Below are 26,012 nucleotides of genomic sequence, written 5' to 3' on the forward strand. Positions count from 1 at the left end.
AATATAAAACTGCTTTAAGAATGCCAGCAACTTTTTCACATGAAGTAAATCAACAGCATTTGTTTTACAAAGTAATATAACACCGTAATATTATTTTCATTTCTCCAATCAATATGTAGGATGAACATTCCCAGGCCCTATTTCAAAGTGAATTTACATTTGGGTCAAAATAGAATCACCCACATAGATACATGAAAGCCACAGTGTTGAGTCTGTTTTGTGGGCCAAGAATAAGCTCCTTTCTTCCCCTAAAACCCTGTCCAGCTTAATGATTGCAAGACTAAAATACTCCACCTTTACTCCTACTCAAACTTACTTTATAAATGCATTTACGATTGCTGCGTCTTCACTTGCCATTTCACTAAAGACATTAATCTTTTGTTCACACTAATGTACTCACAGTGATGATGATTAAAACACCTTTATATATTTAGTAATTTTAAATACATCTTAACTCTTAATTCATTGACTTTGCTTAATGCTTCTTTATATGCTAGATATCTTTAATATACTCAGTGTTCTTTCCTTATATAATAAACTTTAAGAAGTCAGAGATTGGACAATTAGCACAGTATTCAATAAAAGACACCTGGCTGGAGTGATGATAATTGCAAATTATGACACTAACTCCATGACTACCTGGTTGTCCAATGGTTGATTAAATAAATACTCTTTGGCACTTTCTAAGACTTTATGTTATACTCTATGGGGGATAAATACCCAGTAAACCTTGTTATCAAGTTGCTTAGAGATTGAAATTATATACTCAGCTTCTAAGGGTAGAAGGAACTTAGAGGCTTATACAGTTTTTCAGGCACTCCTGCAAATTATAATGGGTAAAGATCATTATAAGACTCTTGATGACAACCTTGACTACCACATTTCCAGGATAACAGCAACTGGCAAGGTTACAGCTCTTAGGAGTCTGTCATTTTTCTTCTGCTCCTCTCCTAGCAACAGATGCAGTTACAGGAAATGCTTTAGAAACTGGGGTTCACTAGATATTTTTAAAGGTGGAAATTTTTATAAAGGGTGGAAAATGCACCTAAAAATATCTCAAGGCCATAAAAACCACTGAGAATCTTTGAGTTCTGTGTTTAAGATCTTCAAATGACGTGTCATTGGAAAGAAAATCTCCATCATGTAATTAGCTTCACCTTCAGTACTGCTCAGAGAGACAGAGTCTTTATCACATCTAGGCATTTCCTCATCTTGCAGAGGGAAAAAATTCCTACCATTGCAATATTTTTAAATTATTCATATCTTTAATCTTTCTATCTTGCATTTGTTTATGGAAAATTTTTAAAAAGTTGATTCAGTTTGGGGTTAAAAGTAAGGTTATTTCAAGTACATATAAGAATTATTCTAAATTATGTCTAACATACCTGCATGATTGATAACAAAGCCAAAATATTAATGAGGATAAATCCCAAATGTTGTCTGAAGTTGCTGGAAATTTTTTCTATTTCAAATAAAACGGCACTAAATAGTGGTATGAAGAGAAACCCATCATTTATGCTCTGAATGTCTGACAAATTCGGAATAATGCCTGTTATACTATGCAGGTTCACAGCCTGTCAGGTAAGCATTTCTTACTGTGTGGCAGCGACAATGCATATATTAGCTATGTAAATGGAAAATCTACACACAGCTTCCAGGTTAGAATATGTTTAAAGAAATATGGTCATAAATAATGCGTAGTAACACCAAATCTGATTCTGCACTGGCTGGGTATCCACAAATTATTTATAAGGAATAAGAAACAAGATCTTTCAGACAGATCTAATAAACTAATGCATGTTATCACTAAGAAATAATGTAGAAAATAGTAATAGGTTACTTCTTGTAACAAATCAAACTCCTTAATCTTAAATATTAGTTGCAAAAATAGGTTAGAAAACAGCGTGCCCACATTATTCAGTGAGGAGTGGCTTTTTGCAATGTATTTTCTCTCCATTTTTCTTTTGCTAGATATCACATCCAGCCAGCATAGTTTTAATGATAGTTTTAATGTGGGGAAGTAAACAAATTATCATGGATGAGTAACTTGCAATTGTTGCTCATCAGGAGGTCTAGCAGGGACTTGCGTTTCATGAAATAATTTAATATCTAATCGGGTATCTAATATCTATTACATATGCATTATATATAATCAGGTATATAATATATATTCCCTCAGGTTGAGTGGAAAAAAAAAACAACTCAATGTCAAGAAAACTGGATTCTGCTCTTGATTTTGCCACTAACAATCTGGCTGAGTGAACTTGGGTAAATGGTATAACCTGTCTAAGCACCAGATTCTTCATCTGTGAAATGGGAATGATAGCTGCTTGCCTATCTCACAGGATGCTACTGTGAGTACCAAATAAGGCAACAGATGTGAAAGTGCTTTGTAAACAGTAAAAGACAAAATACATGTAGAGAATTAAAATCTAATTTCCCAAAAGTCTTTCTAACCAACTTTAGATATACGAACGTGCATGTGAAATGAGTACATATGTGTGGCACATCCATGCATAAAATCATATAACTGACAACTATATGTGTTGCCAACTTTCAGATTTGTAAAACTGTCATTAAAATTTGAACTCTGTTTTCAATGTTCTAGTCCTCTGGTCTAAATACTTAAAACAACATGCCAAAGTGTGTGTCAGAGACATGAGTGGGTCCACCCCCTCACAAATCCTCCTGAATCCTCCAGCCAATTTCCTTCTAACTGGATTGTAATCTGAAGATTCTTCTCTTAGACTTGGCCTGGTGCTCACTTAATCTTGGAGATGTGCAAGATTGTTCACATTTTGCTGGGTCACAGGCTCTTTTTACTTATCAAAATGTGCTACAATTGGTCCCTTAGTCATTTTTAAAATGAAGTATAAGCCAAATTGTTGGCTTTTCCTTAAGGGACATGCAGAATACAGACACAGAGGAGTCTAGAAGAATGCTGAATAACAAGGAGGGGCTAGAGAGGACAGTGATTGCCATCCCAAGAGCCTTTCTTAACAGCTATTCCATGGGGAAGGAGCATTGACTCACTATGGTCCATAGAATTTTTTTTTCACACAAAAGAGAAAATATGTGGAAGAAAACATGAATTTTGAGTTGATAAGTAAGGAGAAGTCAAGCTTTTACAATTGCAAGGAGTTTTTACCTATCTTGGAAAAAATGCTCTACGCATTGGTAAGGAAAATATAGTATGTATTTTTAGAGAAATCTAAAATAGTCATGCTTAATTTTTCAGGTGACAAGGGCATAATACTACCATATGTAATCAAGAAGAGAAAAAGAGCCAAACATTTCACTAACGTCTGAGCTAAACACCAGATGACTGTTATATCTATTTATAATTATTGGGGAGAGGGACTTCAGCTTAGTCCAGTTGTGAAAATAATCATTATCCTTGCTATTGAGGGGGAATGGAACTCCCTCTAAGCACTTTCTTTCTTTTTTCTTTTTTTTTAGACAGAGTCTCGCTCTGTCACCCAGAATGGAATGCAATGGCGTGATCTCAGCTCACTGCAACCTCCACCTCCTGGGTTCAAGCAATTCTCCTGCCTCAGCCTCCCAAGTAGCTGGGATTACAGGCACCCGCCACCACACCTGGCTAATTTTTGTATTTTTAGTAGAGAAAGGGTTTTTCCACATTGGCCAGGCTGGTCTTGAACTCCTGGCCTCAAGTGATCCACCCACCTCAGCTTCCCAAAGTGCTGGGATTACAGGTGTGAGCCACCATGCCCGGCCATAAGCACTTCTTATGGAAAAATATGATTTATCTCTCCCACATTCTAAGAAAGAAGAAAAACAGTGACTTGAGTAACCATCAAGAGAATCCGAAAAGTGAATTATTATCTTTTTAAAAAATCAATTTATCTTCTTCTTGGCCTTAAAATCAAGTACTACTACAACTAAATCCATTAGAGTCAGTATAATCCTTTCAAGATAGATGAAGCCAGGAAAAGAGCCTCTTCCTTCCTATCCTAATATCCACACTTAATCATTCAACAAGTTCTTCCTGACACCTAGTGTTACAGGCTCCATGCAAGCACTGGAACTAGGAAGAGGAATAACATACCCCTTCAAGTCAATGGCTTTACAGACTAAGGTAGAGAGACACATGAAATGACAATTACAGTGGAATGTGGTAAGTGCAATGGCTGCACAGGAAGATCCTAATCTGAATGGGGAGACTGAGAGGAGGTACCGGAGCTGAGCTTTAAATGGCAACTGAGAGTTTGCCAGGCTTTAAAAATGTGGATTGAACACAATATTAGTTTCCACTTCTTCCTGAAACCTGCTAGAATACAGTAAAGAATTTTTTAAAAGCATACACCCAAAGAGCCAAGAAGACAAGAGAGATGACAACAATATAAAAATGTGAGAAACTGGGAAGCCAACAGATAAGTTGCAACTAACCTAACACACTAAAACACTGAATCCTAAGCCAGCAGTAGGGTAAGTGGAAAGAGGCTCAGAAATTAGTGGCACTGGATACTTTTTGAAATTAGGATGGAGATGAGACTGAAAACAGACACTATTTGCTGAAAGTCCATTCGTGAAGCTTTTTGTTGTTATTTTATTTTTCAACTTTTAGTTTAGGTTCAGGGTATACATGTGCAGGTTTGTCACATGGGTAAATTGCATGTCACTGAGGCTTGGTGTACCAATGATCCCATCACCAAGGTAGTGAGCATAGTCCCGATAGGTAGCCTGCCAATCTAGGCTTCCCTTCCACCCTCCCCTCTCAAGCAGTCCCCAGTGTCTATTGCTCCCATCTTTGTGCCCATGTGTATTCAGTATTTAGCTCCCACTTGTAAGTGACAACATGTGGTGTTTAGTTTTCTGTTCTGCATTAGTTTGCTTAGGATAAGGGCCTCCAGCTGCACCCATGTTGCTGCAAAGGGCATGATTTCATTCTTTTTTATGGCTACGTAGTATTTCATGTGCATATGTACCACATTTTCTTTATCCAGTTGAACCAAAGGGCTCCTCTCTGCAATTCTATGCAGCCCCATAACAGGCCCTCATCCCACCAGCAGAAGACTGTAAGTTTATTCTCCAGAGACACTAGGCACAACTGAGGATGGGATACTCTTCTGAGAACAGAGATAAGCAAAAGTTTAGATGTAAATGAGATCCTCAGCTTTCTTCCTCCTCTTGGATTTCATAAGGCTGGAAATTAGGTATAAATCCTCCTTCAAGAGGTTGGAAAGTCTGTTTAAAAGATTCTGGCCTAAGAGAAAAATCTGAAGATACTAAAATATGAGAGTCTCCAGGTAATCAGCCAAGTCAGAGCAACCAACAATAAAGATAACCATCAAAAACCTTTCTATGGACACATGGACACAGGAAGGGGAACATCACACACTGGGGACTGTTGTGGGGTGTGGGGAGGGGGGAGGGATAGCATTAGGTGATATACCTAATGCTAAATGATGAGTTAATGGGTGCAGCACACCAACATGGCACATGTATACATATGTAACAAACCTGCATGTTGCGCACGTGTACCCTAAAACTTAAAGTATAATAATAGAAAACAAAACAAAACAAAACAAAAAAAACCTTTCTTCAACTCCTGCTCCCCCTGGCATGGAACTTCCAGGTCAACAATCACTAGACTTTTTAGGAAAATCTGTATTATGAAAGAGATCAATACAAACAGCAAGGAAAAAAAAATACAACTTTAAGAAAATAGAGAATATACAGTGATACAAAGAAAAAATATTTTATAGAAGTTAAAATATTTCTATGAAAATAGAAATATTCACAAGGAAAAAAATCTCTTGGAAATTTGAAATACTATGGCAGAACTGAAAGACCAATAGAAGATTTGGAAAATATAGCTGAGGAAATTACTCAGAAAGTACAAGTAAAAAGAGGTAGAAATAGGAGGACAAAAAAGAAATTTGGAAGATCTATCCAGAATGTTTAATGTTATGATGGAGGCATTCCAGAAAAAAGAGAAAAGAGAAAACTGAAACAGAAACGGGGTTAATCCTCAATGACATAAAGCAATAAAATTTCCTGGTCCTCAAAAACATGAGTTTGCAGATGGAAAGGCCCACTGAGTTTCAATGGTAAAAACAGAATCATAAAATGTACATCATCAAGAAATTCCAGGTTCCTGAGATCAAAGGGAACACCCCAAACAAGTGTAAAGAACAAAAGTTTCTTCCCTAGAAAGCGTTAAGAATGGGAATGGCCTTGGGCTTCTCAAGCCACACAGAAAGCTAGAAGTCAGTGCATTACAATTCTGAGGAGCATTGCCTTTCCAATTCTGAGGGACACATTTCCAACTTAAAGTTCTATGCACAACCAACCTATCATTCAAGAGGGTAGAACTAAAACATACTCAGACCAACAAAGTCTCAAAAAATGTTTCTGTTGACTCAGTGAGGTACTGGAGGATTTTCTCCAAATAACGACAGTGGTAACAAAAGTGGGGGTGAGGGTGCAGGTAGTAGAAAAAAAGAGAAAGATGTAAAACAAAGGAAACTGGAGGTCCAAAGCAGCGGGAGAGAGAGAGGGAAACCCCAGTGTACCACCTGTGCTACAGGCCTCGCGAGCAGCCAGCCACCTCCAGGAGAGATTTATTCAAGAGGTTTAGACTGATGGAAACTGTAGTGGGTTTGAACGTGTTGAGAGAAGATTTATACAATTAGGGGAGGTATAAATGCTTAGAAAACAAAGCAAGTGAAAAGCAAGGCAATTACTAATTCTAGGAAAATAAAAAACTTGGGTTTGGAAAGGAAAAGAAATTACAGTGCAGTCTTTGACCCGTCTGGGCTGTGAATGGTATTTACATAATCAGCATTGTAGACCATTAACATTGTAGATCATTAACATGACAATCTAATTGTCATTTGTAGAAAGTTAATAGATAATGTCTAAACTAGAAAAAACAAGAATTGGCAAAATAAGCATGTTATTTAGAGATATGGAGGAACATTTAGAAACAATCAGCTAAAAGAGGATCCCTGCTGTGACCATAAGCATCAGAGACACACATAACAGGGGAAGTGTGACTTTTATGACTTCCTGGGTGAGACTCATATTTTTTAACCCACTAAAACTCAAGTTTTCTCTTGTGTGCAGTGGAACCTATTCCTAAATTATACAAATTCCAGAAAGTAGATTTCCTGGCTGATATTGTTTACAGAAAATCTCTACTTTTAATAAATTCCCCACTTTTAATTAATCTCACAATTCAGACCAAAGGAACTACTTCAATTACCTTGCTGTTATCATTGCCCTTCTGTAGTAATTTTTCCCCTCCAAGGCACCCTACTCCCTAATACTTGTACATTTACTTTCTTTCCCTTCTGCTGACATGCCCGGGGCGTCTTCTGCTTTCATGCGTGCATTTACTCTGCCCCTTGCCCCAAGCGTTATGAAATCAATTACTTATTAAGCTACTAAGTAATGTCATTTCCTCCCATCCTTTTGTCACTCGGGCCTTGAAAGCAATAGGTCATCCATCTTCTTTTCAGTTCAAGGCCCAAATAACTAGGTCTTAACAATCATCACGACCTAAAGTTAGGTCTAATCAACTGGAACCAGAGGAAGGAGGAGAAGACATTTGTGTCAGTTTCTTGCATATGTTGGAATTATTTTCTTTGGCAGAAATATGTCACATTCTTTCTTCGTGACAGTCAGCAGAGCCGATCACAGGACTACACAGCAGGCCAGTGACAAGGCGCGCCAACCTGGCAATCTCGCTATTATCTTAGTGCTCCTGGTTGCAGCACTGCTGGAGACAGATTACCCTTCCTTGCAGGAAAAAAAAAACAAAAACAAAAAACCTTGCCTCTTCTGAATGGATTACAGTGCATGTGCACAGTGTTTGTTCAAAGAATAAATACTGGTCATTGTAGCAATAACAACAATGCCAGAAAAATTCTCCTGACACTGGAGAGTTAACTTTCTCTCCCTTTTTAAAGAAATTACCATATATCTTGATTTCTCTTCTTCTGTATAGTTGTTTGCTTCCAAACAAGAAAGGAACTGACTTTCCTTGCTGCATATTAAGCTGTACTATGTTTTTGCTTGGATTGGAATAACAAGAAAAGATAACCAGGTCCATTTTCCCATAGTTACTTAAGCACTTTGAAAGTTACTAATGAAAATAAATGTTAAGGTTTAAAATAAAAACTATTTTGATTTGGCATTAATGTTCAATTATTTATTTTTTAGAAATCTTATGCAAAAGGTATTTTTAAAAATAGTTATTATTGATTCATATGTAACTACTTAAGGCATATACGAAAATTACAAATGATGTAGCTGTTTGTTTATTATACTTCTCTCAGTGTTACTTTCTAAAACATATCCTGCTTGTGGGGCAATAGAAGCCAATCTGCCTAAATAAAAATAAATTGCCTGTATCTGAAAAATGGCAAAGTGTAGAGCAACCTATTATTTTCACCTGGTGCATAAAGTCATGCAGAAGGGCCTGGGTTTAATCACAAGAGGTACTGTAAAACACATTTGTGGCATCTGTAACCTAACTCACACCCACATGAGAGATTGGTGCATCTTATGAATTAAACATAAGTCCTGATTTATGTTCAGTTATCCCTCATATCAAAAACTACAGTTGCAGAGCCGTGTCGCTGTGAATTCATTTAATGATATTGATGAGATAGCCTGCACAGAGACTGCAAAGTAACCACCAGTGCATAGCACGGGCCTATAAATCACTTCTGCAGAGTGGCTAAGCAATAAATAACAAGTCATTAATTCACCGTAAGTTATGCTAAGAAGCTCAAACTACATACGTACCAGATTGTAAAGAAATGCCTCTAGTACAATATTAGAAACAGGCAATGTTTGGTGTTAAAACAATTTCATAAGGGCAAAAATTCATTGAGCAGAATTAATTCCTTATGGATTTCCCTTGGCAGACATAAACCAACACAGATTTTAAAAATCGACCCCCAAAACATCCTTTCATCCAGAAGTAAATACATGTCAGGTATTAAATCCAATGCAACTTTTTTCAGAGCCCAAATTATGAATCTATCCAATGAATGATATAATGGTATTGGCATAAAGCCCTTGGATAAGCTAATAGCATTTCTATAAAGAATAAGCTGGTGAGAATGATGCTAGTTATTCAAATGGCTTTGCCTTGTTGCATCCATAGGATCTGTAAAAATAGATAGCTGTGGCCACAGCCACTTTGTTTTCTTATGTGGATGAGAAAACATTTGCTTTCAGGTGACTTTCACTAACCGAGACGACTTTCACTTTCACTCCTTACAGGTGACTTTCACTAACCTGCTAGGTGACTTTTACTTTCACTCCTTAGGGTGATATCCCCAGTCAGCAACCTTCTAGTCAGCACTCCCCTAAGCATCCTTTCTCCCCAGACCCTCAGAAACTGAGTCCCTAAAGCTGCCCAGGACTTCACTATCTGGCCCCTTCTTGCCCTTCTGACCTTGTGCACAGAGTCTATGTCACATATTGGGCTGTCCTGCCCCCTCAACTCAGAATCCTGCTTTTTGCCACATTGCTGAAGTTTTTCAAACAAATTCATTTCCAGAGTTATTCTTCCCAGGTGAACAATGGGCAATTGAATGGAAATGTCGGAACAGCAACCTAAATGAAAGTGGTGACTCTAAAGATAAGAACCTCATGCACTTGTTCAGACAGGTAAGGGAGATATTTTGAGGAAAGAGGGTCTTCTATTGCAGTTTATAGCTGGCTAGCACTGGATTTCCCTGGGCTGTAGTATATTTGCACACATATGACAAAGGCCAATCTTTTCTTTTTCTTACTACTTTTAGATTTAAGTCTTCCCTGAATTAATCTGTAATCAAGTAACTCCAAATGAGCTCTCATCAGCAAAGAGTGTTTATCTGATCCTCTATGCAGAATCTCAATACAAGAATACTAAATACAGTAGCATTTTAACTATATTCCATTTCAAGCTTCTATCTAATTTTCTTCCTAATATCACCTTAGGCCTCTTTTGTCATTACTGCACTCTAATTCTAGCTTATCTAATATCAATGTTTAAAATTGCTCCCTCTCTAGACACATTTGCTTGAATATTTAAGCTCAATTCTTTCCTAGTTATTTCCTGTCTCTAACAATCTCCAGATACCTTTTAAATTTTGTCTTATTCTTCATCGGTTTTTTGCAACAAACATCTCTCCGTTTAGTATCATCTGAGAACTTAATTAACTTGCTCTTTTCCCTCTGTTTTAGGTCAATGATGAGGATGTTAATGTAGATACTACGTTTGTTTCCCTGGAAGGTTACTGGAAACCCTTTCTCTTTCTACATATTAATACATGGCCAATTGTCTTTTATGATCCTCTGGCTAGTCTCTCTCCCACCTCCATTATATGGTAACACCCACATCCTTGTCAATTTGAAGTTTCTCAGTAACACTGCATGGGAAATGAGAAAAGTTATAGCCAAGTGACAGTGCTTTGTGTCCTTACAGTTCCTAACACCCAGGAGTATCAAAGTGGCATACACTTAAGCAATTCTTCATGAACTTTTCTCTGAAATAAGTTAGGAAAATGCTAAATAAGAGTAACTTTATCTTCAGATGGAGAAGCTGAGGTAGAGAAGGCAATCACATCAGAACTTTAATGAGTCAATCTGATTACTTTTGTCTTATACTTAATTTAAGAATATTTATAATTTTAGAATATTTATAATTTTTGTACATACATATATATATGTACGTACAATAATGCTTCATTATATGGACATAACTGAACGACTGAATTTTCTACGTAAGGAAAATTTCCAGATGAATCCAGAAAACTGAATCTTATGCCATGAGCATAGCAAGAAAATCTTAAACATGGAGCACAAGTAATATTGTATCAGGAAGGTCTACAAGAAAAAGAGGAAAGCTTGAAGATTTTTCTCTGTATTTTTGTCTTCTTTTTCTCTACTGTTGTAGTGTAACATGCCATTCTGACTCCTTAAATGAATCACAAGACTATATCTTCATTCTTTTATTTAAAGTTTTTCTTTTCTTTTCACCCAGAAGTTTTTCCTAAAAACTCAAATCAATACCTATTAATCAATTTATTAACCATTTCCATATTCATGGACCCCACATGACGGTATTTTTAAGAGTTTATTTTCTCATTTTCTTTCTCTACCTTTACATATATAGTAGTAATCAACTTTGTGTGGTCATAGGAAGAGCATTGGTTAAGGGCCTGAATTGACTCAGGATAAGCCTGAGCTGCAATCCTGCACTTATTACTCTATGAACTATCTGTGTCAGGAGAAAACTATTTAAATGTGCCAAGCCTCTGATTCCTCATCTGCAAAATGGGCATAATAACACTGCTTATTTCATAAGACTGTTGTGAAGATTAAATTAGAAGAATGAGGCAATGAACCTAGCAGAGTGGATGGCAACAGAGAGAAGACATTTAGAGAGTTACATATGCTTAAAGAAAATGACAGATGAAAGACGGATCACCTGACAGATTTGTTCTGATTTGGAAGTTTATTCTGATTCACTTATGATTAAAGATTGAATTCTAGTTAGTGCTATACACTTAACAAATGCCTTTATTGGAAAGAATATAGTTATCTGCAAGTAAGCCTGTTCCAGAAAACCAAGAATATAAGGTCATGGTTCATATACATCAATAAATCCAAATGAAACATCCTCATCTTCATCAGTATTTGAGGATCAGTGTTGTGGTCTTCAAGTGCTATGCCTTGCTGCCTTGGCCACATTATTAGTATATGATGGAACAGATGGAGAGCAGAAGGGTGGAGCTCAGCCTGCAATGCCCTCTGAGGGCCCAGAGGATCATGGAGTGAAGGTTCATCACAGTGTGATGAAAAGGGAAGTAGAAGCCTTGGGTTCTACTGTGGGCTGTCACCATGTAGCTCTGTGACAGAGCTCACCCCTCTCTGGGCCTCAGTTTCCTCATTTTTAAAGTGAGAGTTTAGGTCTTTCTAGCTACCATTAGAACTTGAAATTGTGCCAGGCCAAGAAAACTTTGCTCTTGTCAATACATCTATTTAGCAATGTTTCTAAAAAGATAGTATTATCCAAGCTAATTTATACATCTTTGTCCAGAGGAAGGGACAGTTGCAAAGTCAATTAGGGATGGAAGAAGGTACAGAAATAAACATGGGCAGTCTTAAAATAGAAATATGTTGGAGTCTTTGCTGTATAATTTTCCATTGTCAGCTTTCAGCTGTCCAACTGTTATTCAAGCAACTTTATATACTGAAAATATTTGCTCATGAAAGTGATTGAATTTGTAGAGGTGCAGACAAGTATTATAATAAGATCATAGAGCTATTTCTTGAGTCAATTTTGCTATGGAATTTTTTTTCCATCTTTAAACATTTGAGAAATTCAGCTATCAGCCATATAATCATATGCTGTTTAATATTTAAACTTATAAGGTTTTACACATAATGAATCAACAGTTTTACTCTTTCCAGGCAAATAAAATAAATCTTTGCTCACTGATGAGGCTTCTAAGACAAGTAGCTGGGTGGACATCTTTAGGATGTAATCTTCCTCAGATTTAAAATCATAAGTGTGACTTGATGCATGAAACAAAAAGTAAGTTATCTATGAAAATTTAAAAAGATGAGTATCATTGTATTTCCTGCAATTTTATTAATTTCAACACTTGATTTGCCAGTGATTCATACTTCTCCATCAAATACTGGACATTTTGACAATTTTATATTTAAAAATAGAACTTCTACTTACAGATTAGCATTATGAGCTGTGAAAAGTAATTCCTGAGATCTGGCAGAGGTGTACTAAAGTGCTGTAATAACAGTTTTGGTAGTCCCTTTTTAAGACAAATGTCTATCCCCCAAAGACTTTCTAAAATTGACACACTGAGGTGTGTTACTCTGAAAATCTCCATGAGAATGCAGCATTTCTTATAGACATGAATTGTCCAAGACTTTGTCCATTCCCAGCATTGCTGTGCTGAAAAGCTCTGTGTAAATGGATTTGAACCAACAAAAATGTATTTCAAGGGTTTTTGATACTTAAATTCCTGATTACATCTTTCATTAAAAACACTTATTTTTTAAGTTCAATCATGTACAATATCTAGCAAGTTAAACTGTTATACGTCAAGTCCTCTAAAATAGAAAAAAAAGGCACTTCTGATTGCTCTAGAGTTTTATCTTCATTTTCTTAACGTCAAATTAGCAAAAGAGGAATATAGCTTTCAAGACAGGTTTCACTGGCCAGGTGCCATGGCTCATGCCTATAATCCCAGCACTTTGGGAGGCCGAGGTGGGTGGATCATTTGAGGTCAGGAGATCAAGGCCAGCCTGGCCAACATGGTGAAACCCCAGCTCTAGTAAACATACAAAAATTGGCTGGGCATGCTGGCACACACCTGTAATCCCAGCTACTCAGGAGGCTGGAGCAGGAGAATCCCTTGAACCAAGGAGGCAGAGGCTGCAGTAAGCCGAGATCGTGCCACTGCACTCCAGCCTGAGCAACACAGTGAGGTTCCATCTCAAAAAAAAGATGTTGCATTACATTAAAAAATGTCTAATGTAAATAATATTTTACTTTTCATAAAAATGTGAAAAAATCAATATGCACACAGTATCTCCCAAAAGAAAACAATGAGATTTATAGTGGTTATCCAGAACCATCTTTCTCTAGAAACACACACACACACACACACACACACACACACACACAACTAAGGCCTTCCTTCAGGATTGATAAAACATAGGTTCTACATGAAAATAATTTTATCTAACATTGCAACCATAACTCCAGGGATCTGTAAGACCAACATTCTCTATTCTCCTTTCAGTGGGCCTTGAGAGGCTTCTCCAAACTTGGGGATCATGTAAGCTACAATGACACTGATTTCTTGAAGATACACCCCATAATTGCTCCTTGAGTCTTCTTCTTGGAATAGAACTGATAACTCACAGACTATCATTTTGCAAAACAGCTCAGATTATTTTTCCTTGCTTATATTTCTTTTTTTTCTTGAGGCAGAGTCTTGCTGCGATGCCCAGGCTGGAGTGCAATGACGCGATCTTGGCTCACTGCAACCTCCACCTCCCAGGTTCAAGCGATTCTCCTGCCCCAGCCTCCCAAGTAGCTGGGACTATAAGAGTGCACCACCATGCCTCGCTGATTTTTGTGTTTTTAGTAGAGACGGGATTTCACCATATTGGCCAGACTGGTCTTGAACTCCTGACCTCAAGTGATCCGCCCGCTTTGGCCTCCCAAAGTGCTGGGATTACAAGCACGACCCACCACGCTCAGCCCCTTGCTTATATTTCTTTATGTTTGTATACATATTGATTCTGTTTTCCACTCTTCTGCTTACCATGTATACAATATCACAATTTATTCACATCAAGTTAGCATTTCACTCTCTAGAACAGTTTTGTGTCCCCCATAAACTTGAATATTTCACTGTAAATCCTCACTTCTAGGTGATTTATAAATCCATTAATTGAGACCAAGGACAGGCAGATACCCAGAAGAGGAGGACAGGATCTAAATATGTGGCCAGGCCCTCTCTATTTGAGATAAGGCTCTGCTTTTAATTTAGCAAAAGCAGAGATGGAGGTGAAAAAGACTTTTACTCAGGTGAAAAGGACTTTAAAGGCTCTCCTAAATGGTAAAAGTTGTTAATATTAATCATGCTCACATTTGTGTTTGTACAAGAAACCATGATGTCAAAGAAGAAATCTGTAGGATTTCCTTTGTGAAAAGCTTAGTTATATTTACATTAAAATTTTACTTTCCCAGTGAAAACTAAATAGACTATAGAAGAAAAGGTGCAGTGGCTCATGCCTGTAATCCCAGCACTTTGGGAGGCTGAGGCGGGCAGATCACCTGAGGTCAGGAGTTTGAGGCAAGCCTGGCAACAAGATGAAACCTCGTTTCTACTAAAAATACAAAACTAGCGAGGCGTGGTGGTGCGTGCCTGTAGTCCCAGCTTTTTGGGAGGCTGAGGCAGGAGAATTGCTTAAACCTGGGAGGCAGAGGTTGCAGTGAGCTGAGATCTGCACTCCAGCCTGGGTGACAGAGTAAGACTCCATCTCAAAAAAAAAAAAAAAAAAAAAAAAGAAAAGAAAAAAAGTGAATTTACATAATATAATAAAGCCAATTCTCACTTTTTAAAAAAAGATCAATATGCAGGCACAATCACCTATCAATCACACTAGTGATTCCACTAACTTACATTATCTTATGACACCTTACAAAAGAAAAAATGGGAATTTTATATTCAAAGTATACAGTTAAAAATAACACAGGATTTTTTAAAAATGTAAGTATCAGACAAAGAGGCTCACTCACTACTAATTAATACTAGTTAGTTGCAAGGCTATGCATTCCAGGGAGCTTTGGAAAAGAGACAGAATGCGTTGCTTTTCAACTGAATTAGTGTGCCTTACAAAATAAACATTTAAAGGCATTTATTGAAATCCAACAATGAAACAGAAAATACTGCAAAATGAGAAACAATGTTTTCTTAATTAATGTGATGACTGAGTAATCAGAATAGTGACAGGAACCTGGCATTATCTTAACTTATGAGTAATTATGAAACATTATTATACAGGACTCTTACTGTTAAAAGTTGAAAAGTTAACTACTATTAGTCTTTGTGATACTGGCCTTGATACAAAAATCATATATAGTTTTATGCATACGTCTTAGCTTTTAATTTTATCAGGTTGACTTCATAGTTAACCTTAACATAAAAATAACATACTTTCGTAATGAAAAGAGCATTAGTTACAAGGTTGTTCTTCACAAAGCTGTACAATAGTGAGTATTGGAAACAAGCAAAATGTCCAGAAATAAGAGACTGATTAAACAGATTATAATACATCCACATAGAATTTGAGCCAGATGATGTTGTAGATGCATATTTATTGGGAAAACACTCATAATATAATGTAATGTTAGAGTTTTTTTCAAGCTAGATTAGAAAATAGAATGTATAATAGAACCCCAAGTTTGTAAAAACTAAAATTGAACACACACATATTTATTGGGAAAACATTCATGTTACTTTTTTTTAAAAAAAGCTAGATTAGAGAATAAAATGTATAAGAGAACCCCAAGTTTGTAAAAACTAAAATTCAACACACACATATATCTAGAGAAATATACCCCAAGATACACACTGTTATCTCTGGGATAGTGGAAATATGCATATGCGTGTGCACATGTGCAGGTGTCAGTGTGACTGTGCGTCTCTGTACATATATGAATATTTGCTTAGCTGTATTTTTATGTACATAGGCATTGCTTTCATAATCAGAGGTAAAATTGTATTAAAACTCATTTTAAAATAAGTTTTACTGTCAAGTTTAAATATTAAAAATCAACTCTATTTATGACATATATTTATTTACTGAAATTCTTTTAAATTATAAGTCTAAACTAAGACATTTTGCATTCTAACCCAAATGTGAAATACAGAAAGCCAAAAAAAAATTAACTCAATGCTTTTACAAAAAAACAAAAACAAAAACAAAACTCAGAAAGATACAATGTCTGAAACAGTTGGTAGTGGGGTAAGTATATATTCCAGATATAATACAACCCTTGGATTAAACAACTTAACTGTTTAAATAAAAGCTCGATTGAGAGTTACCAAAGTGGAATATGGAATTGAAGTTACAGAATAAATGCTCTTCAAGAGAAGTCTCTGATTCCCTTTGATCTTTGGAGAGGTCATCTCCTCATGCTCCAAATGAGCCATTTAGAAATCTTCCCTTACTATATATTTGTATGAGATATCTGATTGCAGAACAAATCTGAGATCCATAGAATGAAATATTTTGCTTTTCAAATAATAAAATATTTCAAAAAATATTTCAAATAATGAAATATTTGAGAAACAAAATATAACATTTAAAAATCAGGAATTATTTTCACTGATCAATCAGAATTAAAAATCACTGATCAGAATAAAAATCAGAAATCCTTTCACTGATGCCTTAGAGCAGTTATTCATGCTCTCGGTTTCTTTTAATAAGTTTCTATTTTCCCTAAGTCCAGAAATATTGCTTTAATTCTTAATATCCAAGATCTTTAAACAGAAATGAACACTAAACCCTTGCTCCTATTTATAAGTTCTGGTGATATATGGATAATATAGATTTAATTGTTCATTTACAAAATATACAATAATAAAATCTCTATAAAACTATCCATTTCAATGTATCTTTAAAAAATTTATCCAGCATGGCATTTATTATAAATAAGGAAGTCTGAAAAATGTCAGATATTTCATTTAATGTCTTAGGGTTAAATAGTACCATTTAGAATTCCCTAAGATAAATTTATTTGGATTTATTTATAAAATTATAAAAGTAGTAATAGCACTTCATTTTAACACCAGAAAATCATCAACGCCATAGTTGGTATGATACTTAAAAGACTTGATGTTTTCACCTAATATGATTGTAAGGTACATTTTTCTGTTCCATCTTTCCGTCCCACACACAAATTCATTCCATGCCAAATCCCTTAAATTCCTCTTTTGAAGTTTAAAATTAATTCCCATGGTTACTTTTCAATAATCCTCCATCTTCTAAAAATGCAAAATATGTTTATACTTTTTGAGAAATTAGATGAAATCCCAAATATCCTATGTGAGTATGTGCTATGCTTTTAAAAAGAAAAGAAAAACACTCATTCTTAAAAAAAAAAAACTATTAATCAAGGAGTCTGATTCTGTAATTAATAAGAACAAGGTAACAATTTGCTTTAAGTGTCCATTCATAACGTTAAATCAGTGTTAAATTATAAAGAATTTCCATGGAAATGCACAAGACATCCACCTTGATTCTAAATGAAGTTCATTATGAACAGCTCTATTATACTGAATGGCAAATGAATTCTTAATAATGAGGCACTTGATGTGTTATCCAGAACTGGGGTTGACAAGAAAACCACTTAGCTTCACTTTCTAATAATATTATAGCAAGTAACTGATAATAGCACACACACACATACACACACACATGCACACAGACACACACGTTTAATTTTGAGAGAAAAACTTTAAAGCATGTTTATCGAACCTTTACAAATGTTTTATTCTTTTATTTTTTAGTGTTTTACTTATTTGTTAAAAAAAGTCATATCAAGAGTAATTTAAACAATACCGAACTTTTTAAATATAATGTTTTCTCTGTAGAAGGTTTTGCTGTTTCACAAGCTCATCTTGCCCTTACCATCAAAAGTCCATAACAACAGATGCTACAATAATTAAAAACCTATCACTATAGACTCTTCTATCACATTACAGACTAGGAAAATGAAGGAGGTTTATGGTTGTCCTTGTCTCACTTTATCCACCTCTTCGTGGTTGATGTGTAGGCTTTAATGTGCATCCTTGCACCTCTCCTTCGGCAGGAAGCCTGTCTCTGGGGATCACTTGCAGAAAATAGGACATTGAGTCCATAATTAAAGTAATCTCTTTCCAGGCAGATGCTGCAGTTGGCTCTGTTATCACATATTACAAAAGGCATCTTGAGGGTTATAAAATGTGCAGCAAATAGCTTTGGAGATGAGAAACAGCAATTTTTCATCTAATTTTGATCCACAGACATGTAAGTACTGTATTGCTACTTTTTGGTTTTGAGCCAAATAACTATTATGGTGCTGAGATGAGCCAGGCGGTAACCAAAATTAAAGAATACTTTAGCTTTTATCCTCAAAGTGAGAAAAGCTCTTTTGTAACCATCTTTGCACTTAGCAAATAAGGATGCCATCTCAAATCTGAGCATTAATGCCTGCAGGAGGATTTAGAAGAAAGGCTTATGTGGCTTAGCTTTACAGCCACACTTTCAATATATTTACTTAGGTTAAAACCAGGGGTTGATTAAGGGACCTACCATCTTTGCTCCTTTGCAACTACAGTGTACATTTTTAATTAGAAGGCTTTTCACTGTTTATCTTTCCTATAAAATTTAGGACATTGCTCTTTGAAATATATGTCAGCCTGGAAAACGAATATGCTCATGCTATTCATAATCCCTTCTATAAATACTAATAGTGGAAATACATGGAGGAGATTTGACTAACACATTTTTGTTTCCAGCTTTGAACTCATCAATGTGGATAACCAAAACCTCACTTTAATATTGTGAGGCGCTAAAATAGAGATGGAAATAATAATTTCATTTAATATTTATTTCTCAGTGCTAAATAAAACATCAATATGCACTGATTTAATGTTAAATAGGTTATCTTATAATTCCAGAAAATATGTGGCTTACATTTTTTTAATTTCCTCAAATTGTTTTTCTTTTAACTTTGTGATGACAAAGTTTTACATGAATTCAGGCCATCAATTAAAAAATATTGTTAATATTAACCTTCTAAATTTTTTATTAGTCTAAATAGCATTCAAAAACCATAAATATCTAATTTAACAATAGAAATATTGTTAAACTCTAGCAAGTTTAAACCTTCATAATATTTAGAAGAGGAATGTATGCAATGTCATTTGAATTAGCAAAGAAAAACTAACTGCAAATCAAAAATTCAAATTATTGATAAAATTTTGTTAAATTACCAAATTGGTATTTCCAGAGCACCTAAGATACTGTAATATAAAGCTAGCTGTCACCAGCACATGCCTAAAGGTAGAAATGGCAGAGTATAAACTCTAATTCTATAACATAATCTTCTGGCATATTCAAGCATTTTTCCACTCATGTAAGCATGTATTCATTCATCTATTCAACAACCAATGTTTAAAGAATTACTTTGGCCGGGCGCGGTGGCTCACGCCTGTAATCCCAGCACTTTGGGAGGCCGAGGCGGGTGGATCATGAGGTCAGGAGATCGAGACCATCCTGGTTAACAAGGTGAAACCCCGTCTCTACTAAAAATACAAAAAATTAGCCGGGCGCGGTGGCGGGCGCCTGTAGTCCCAGCTACTCGGGAGGCTGAGGCAGGAGAATGGCGTGAACCCGGGAAGCGGAGCTTGCAGTGAGCCGAGATTGCGCCACTGCAGTCCGCAGTCCGGCCTGGGCGACAGAGCGAGACTCCGTCTCAAAAAAAAAAAAAAAAAAAAAAAAGAATTACTTTGCCTAAATATTTTCATAATACTACCTGCAATTGAAATACTAGAAATACGTACTCAGTATTCTGCCACCTGAAAAACAGGTTTCAATTTTGTATGTTTCCTTCAGCTTTGTCTACACGCAAGTTATTTTGTTCTTAGGTAATTGCCCTTTTATCCCTAATAATTTTTTACTTATTTTGTCTGATATTAATATAGTAACAGTAGCTTACCTTTGGTTAGCACTTGCCTGGTATGTTTTTTCCATCTCTGTACTTTCAATGTTTTTGTGCCATTATGTTTAGTTTTATCTCTTAGAAACAGCATACTGCTGTATTTTTGTAATTGCATTCTCAAAGTCACAGTGTTTCGCCTGGTGAATTTAATCTGTTTATATTTATTGTAATTGACAATTTACTTAAAATTATTTGTTATCTTATATTACATTTTATACTTCTATGATTTTTAAATTTACCCTTTTCCTTTATTCTGATGTTTTAACTAACTGTTCTTTAATCCTTTGCCCTTCCCCTCCCTATTTTGGAAGTTATAATTTTATTTCTGTTCTTTACATTTACATTTTTAACAGTCAACTGAGCCCATAACCTTCTTGCAAAATAATTTGATGACATTTGAAAACTTTAATACTGATTTCCTTTTCCCTCCAAATTATACACTAATGTTGCTTCATGTATTTTAGTTATATGTTGCCTTTAAATTCTATCCTAAAATAATTATTGGTATATATGTTATACATAAATTTATTTGCATGCTCAATGCTTAGAGTTTCTAATGTGCTTACTAATTTCTTTGCTCACTATTAATTATTGTATCATACCACAATTTCTTGTATCCTACACCTTCCTTCTGGGTTTGTTTTCATTTTACTGAAGGGCATCCTTTAAAATTTTGCTTTAACATGGGCCATGTGCGGTAAAAATACCAAACTGCATTTTTAAAAAATTTATCTTGTTTTGCTTTCACACTTGACTGATAATTTATCTAGGTACAGAACTCTAGGATGACAATTCACTTTGATGATATTGTTCCATTGTCTTCTGGCATCTTTTGTTGCTGATGAGACCACTGTCAGATTAAATTTATAGGTAATCTGTCTTTTCTATTTTGTCACCTTTGATGTTTTCTGTCGTTGATATACTGAAGGCTTATCACGACCTTTATCAGTACTAATTTATTTTATTTATCTTGCTTAGATAGAAAACACACACATCTTCCTCAGTTCTAGAAAAATTTCTGCCATTATCTCTTCAAATTTGTCTTATTATTTTTATTCTCTCCTTCTAAAACTTCAATTAGATGTTAATTTCTTCACTTGGAGTTCTGCACAGATTACTAATGTAAAGCTAGACTCCATATACTGAGGGTTTTATCTTCTTACAAGTAACTTATCTTGACCAAAGGCTCCACTCAGATGACAAATTTCTTTGCTGTTTTCCCAGTCAGGCTTCAATCAGTGGGCCCAGTTCCAGCTCAGTCTCCTTTATTATCTCCTGCTGTCTTTTAAGAAGCTCCTGACAATAGCTCCAGGCCCCATATAGGTTAAAACTCCAGATCTAGGACCTAAATCAGGTTTAAGAGACCTGCAGGCCACCACAATGTCAGTTCCTATTTCTTGACCCAGCTTTGATATGTCTCCTTTCTTCTGGAAACCAGTGTTTTCACTTTCTTTCAAAACAGAGTGTGTGTGTGTGTGTGTGTGTGTGTGTGTGTGTGTGTGTGTGTGTGTTTGCTTCATTTTAGCTAGAGTTGCTATTTTATTTCAGTGGGAAGAATTTCTGCTATGCCAGTTCAGTCTTCCATGATGCCAGAAATCCTCTACAAACATATTTTTATGTGTCTGAAATTGTACCACAGAAACAAATATTTTGTTTATGTCACTTAATATTCCAAGCATCTCTCATTGCTATACTATCTTCATAAATACTAATTTTTAAAAGAAATATAGAGTGGTAGTATAGGATGGTGGTTTAAAGAACACGTTTTGGATCAAAACACACCTGTCTTTGCGAGTTTTTGAAGCTCTTGCTTCAAATAATAGGTGGTTCTAGGAGAGTAAAGGAACTTAGTAGGCTGCCTGGTACACCAGTACTCAATAATTAAAATTTCTTTATTATTACTATTATGACCATCATTATCATAAAATGGGGTTTCAAATTCCATTAATGCTCATTTTCATATTAATAGTCTTCCAGACTAGCTAATTTTTAATATTAGGTACATGACAGTAAGTTTTCATGCGTAAGGGCACATTTGAAAAGATGCAGAATCTAAAATCTTGTAGCAGGGAAGTGGAAGATCAGCAAGGGGAAAGCAGGGACTGAGATCCAGGCATGGGGCAGACAGAGGAAAATGCCTTAGCCCAAGGCAGCCAAAGAGCAGCACTAAGTCCTGGGCACTGTAAGGGATGATAACCAGAGGCAATTCTCACTTGTCATATTTGGCTACCATTGCCCATAAAATAAAAAACCATAGAAACTGCTGCACTGGCAAATAAAACTAAAATGAAAAATTAGGTAACCAGCTGTTTACATAAAATTGTCTTATTTGGTGAGTTTAGAAGTTATGATGGTTCAAGTTCACATAACAATGGCAAAAAACTTAGTTTTGCTTTCTTCCTTCTATGTGTCCTTTGAATTGCATGGTTAATTTCTGTAAATGTCACGGTAATATTTGGGGAAATGATAACAGATTATCGAATCTTGTGCTACACAACAGAACTTTCTGTAATAATGGAAACGTTCTACATTTGTGCTGTTCAATAAAATAGTCATTAGCCATATGTGGCTACTGAGAACTCAAAATGTGGCTGGTACAACTGAGGAACTGAATTTTTTATTTAATTTTAATGAATTCAAACTTAAATAGCCACATGGCTTATAGCTACCATGTTAGAAAGTATGGTTCTAAACAAATTTTAGAATGTGTGTATGTGTGTGTGCCTGTATGTGTGCTATGGTTTAAATGTGTACCTCAAAGTTCGTGTGTTGGAAACATGATTCCCAATGCAACAGTGTTGAGAGGTAGGACCTTTAAGAAGTGATTAGGTCATGACAGCTCTGCCCTCATGAATGGATAAATGCCATTATTGTGGGAGTAGAGTAGTTACCTCAGGAATGGGTTCCTGATAAAAGGATGAGATGGGTTCCTGATAAAAGGATGAGATGGGCTCCTTTCTTCTTTCAGGTATGCTCAGTTTCTGCCATGTGATGCCTTCCACCATGTTATGACACAGGAAGAAGTCCCTCATCAGATGCAGCCCCTTAATCTGGGACTTCCTAGTCTCCAGAACCATTAGCCAAAAATCTTCTATTGTTTATAAATGATCCTGTCTCAGGTATTCTGTTACAGAAGCACAAAACAGACTAAGACAATGTGTGTGTGTGTGTGTGTGTGTGTGTGTGTGTGTGTGTATACACATACATATTTACATATCTAAATAGGTCACAGAGGGCAAAATAAGTTCTTTAAAAATTTTTATCTGAAAGAAGCAATCAGTTTTATTTCACATTTTTAATAAGGCCTTAATATACAGAGACTTTACTAAAAATAGAGCTTAATAATATGCTGCTGCTTGTATCCAAATAACTACACTGGCAAACCATAGAGTTGTCGCTGCCATGGAAAAAATTTATTCACCTGTTTCTCAGACGTCTTTGTCATCACTGTTTTTGACTGTGTAGGCAGTTTGGAAAAACGAAATTTCACACTTCTAAAACTGGTTTAATCAATTCTAGTGATAGGGAAATAACCCAAATCTCTGGCCATACCTCATTTTAAAAAATTTCTACTAGATTTAAAGAACTTCTAATAATTATAACAGATAAATATTTTAGATTTACTGACTTTGGTCTTTTTGCTTTCACAAACGTTCTATGTGGTTTCAAGTAAGAAGTGCCAAGTACAATAGTAATCCCATCTTAACCACAAAGCCTTGTAATAAGGAACACCTTGTGGATACCAAGTTCAGTCCATTTACTTGAGTGATCTCCATAAGTTCTCACACCATTACATGAGATGAAAAGAAAGGAAGAGGTTGTTTTGCTATAGCTTTTTTTTTTTTTTTTGCTTCTAGACTCAACATCAGGATAAAACTAACATTTTTCTCTAAAAAATAAAAAAGCAGAGATTAAAAAAAGGAAGAAGAGCAAATCTGCTAACACAACTATTTGCTGCGGCATAAAATTCCATAGAAACAGGTACATCTTTGGACTGTCGTTAAAAAATATTTTGTTACTGGAATAGAAAATTTTCCCATGTTAGTAAAGCAGTTCCACTTCTCTGACGGTCTTATGATTTTGATGCAAAGCAGCATACTGTGGAGACTCCAGAAGAGTCCCCTAATATAACCTGTGCTGTTTATACCATGACTTCTTGGAAGGAGGAGGAGACAGGAAAGGAGAAAAGAGGGGGGAAAATGAAGGGAATAGTTTTGCCCATTGAATGTCTGTTAAAATAGATATGTTGTACAATTAATATAACAAAAATAACTTCTTCAAGCCTTCTTGGAGATTTATTGACATATTTTATCTCAACCATACTTCCTAAAATTAAAAACTAAATCCCTAGGAAGCATTCTGACCTCAAGCATTTGACCATTTGCTGAAGTGCTGATACATATAAGAACACACATTAGACCCTGAACTTAGGCTTTCTCATTGTTCAAGCCTAACTGGCTATTTAAATGTGATGAAAAACAGGGGCTTATGGGGAAGTGAGAACTATCAGTTAGGCTCCTAGCTGTTTACCTTTAAGGATAGACAATATTTCTTTTATCTTGTCATCTAGAGGTATATTTTTGAGCAGCACTGACATTGTCTCAAGTTGGGAGATGCCTGCTTAAAAACAGAAAACTAGACTGTCAGAAAAGAAAAAAAAGACGTGATTTAAAAGAAAGATGAAATTTCTCCTTTAGAAAATAGCATATCCAGTTTTATCTCAGAGCATAGGTACAATCATTTCAGACTTAAATGGGAGGTAATTTATTTTTGCAGTAAGCTATGTATAATCTAGAAAGTAAAAGAATATTTGTATGCATCCATTGTTGGCATCCTTATCCATAGGTATGAATGCACTTCCAATAAACACACCCATGGGGGAATCCCTGATCTTATTTCAAATGTTTAAGTAACAAGGCAAATACATCTGTGATGTGTCCGTCTGATGAATGGAAATAAATGGGCAACCATGCAATATTTTCTGAAGAATTCTCCAGACAGTCTAGAATGGCTCTCACCAAAAATTAAAGGCATCTGAGATACACTCAAGGCAGCACTTCAAATCTCTGCATCTGTATTATTATTTTGAGCCTGGCAGGTGTTCAGAAACTGCTAGTGTCTGCAATTTTTAAAATGATTTTTTTTGCCTTCTCGTTTAGTGTACTTTAAGAAAACTATCCCTCTAGGAGATACTTCCTTTAACATATCAAATGTTCAAATATGATCCTCCTGTGAGTGATCCTTCTTGCTGACCTAAGTTCATTATTTGTCCATGCTCAGTATCTTAAATAGAATATTGCTTGGTTTTCATTCTGTTTTCAGTTTTGAGAAAGTTCACATAATATTAAATCATCACTAATTTAGGCACAAACCTGATCTTCTTTTATGTTCCATTTTAATCCTAATATTATGCTAGTATCTCTGTCCAGACAGTTAAACCTAAACCTAATTGTGATGAATTTTGCCTGTAATTCACACATTCCCCACATGAAATCCCCTTGTGATGAAGGATAGGATATGATCAATATCCATATATCATACATATCAAGATCAAACCCATGTTCATCACATTTCAGAATTTTAAAGTGGCACCTCTCATTATTTGAATGAATTCAATAATATTTCTATATTCATATAGAGATAGATTTCAAAAGTAGATAGGAAACACACGTGGGCCACCTTGAAAAGTTAGAGAGATTCCGATGCCATACTGCAAACTCTTATTTAATTTTCG

At 35.6% G+C, this 26,012-nt stretch overlaps 1 protein-coding gene across 2 annotated transcripts in view; it reads right to left on the minus strand.

The window, feature by feature from the left end:
* The window catches only part of RELN (reelin), a 517,870-nt gene that overhangs the window by 331,098 nt on the left and 160,760 nt on the right, over nt 1-26,012 (minus strand). The gene's annotated exons all lie outside the window — the stretch shown is intronic.

The sequence above is a fragment of the Homo sapiens genome, chromosome 7, assembly GCF_000001405.40.
Source record: "Homo sapiens chromosome 7, GRCh38.p14 Primary Assembly".
NCBI lineage: Eukaryota > Metazoa > Chordata > Mammalia > Primates > Hominidae > Homo > Homo sapiens.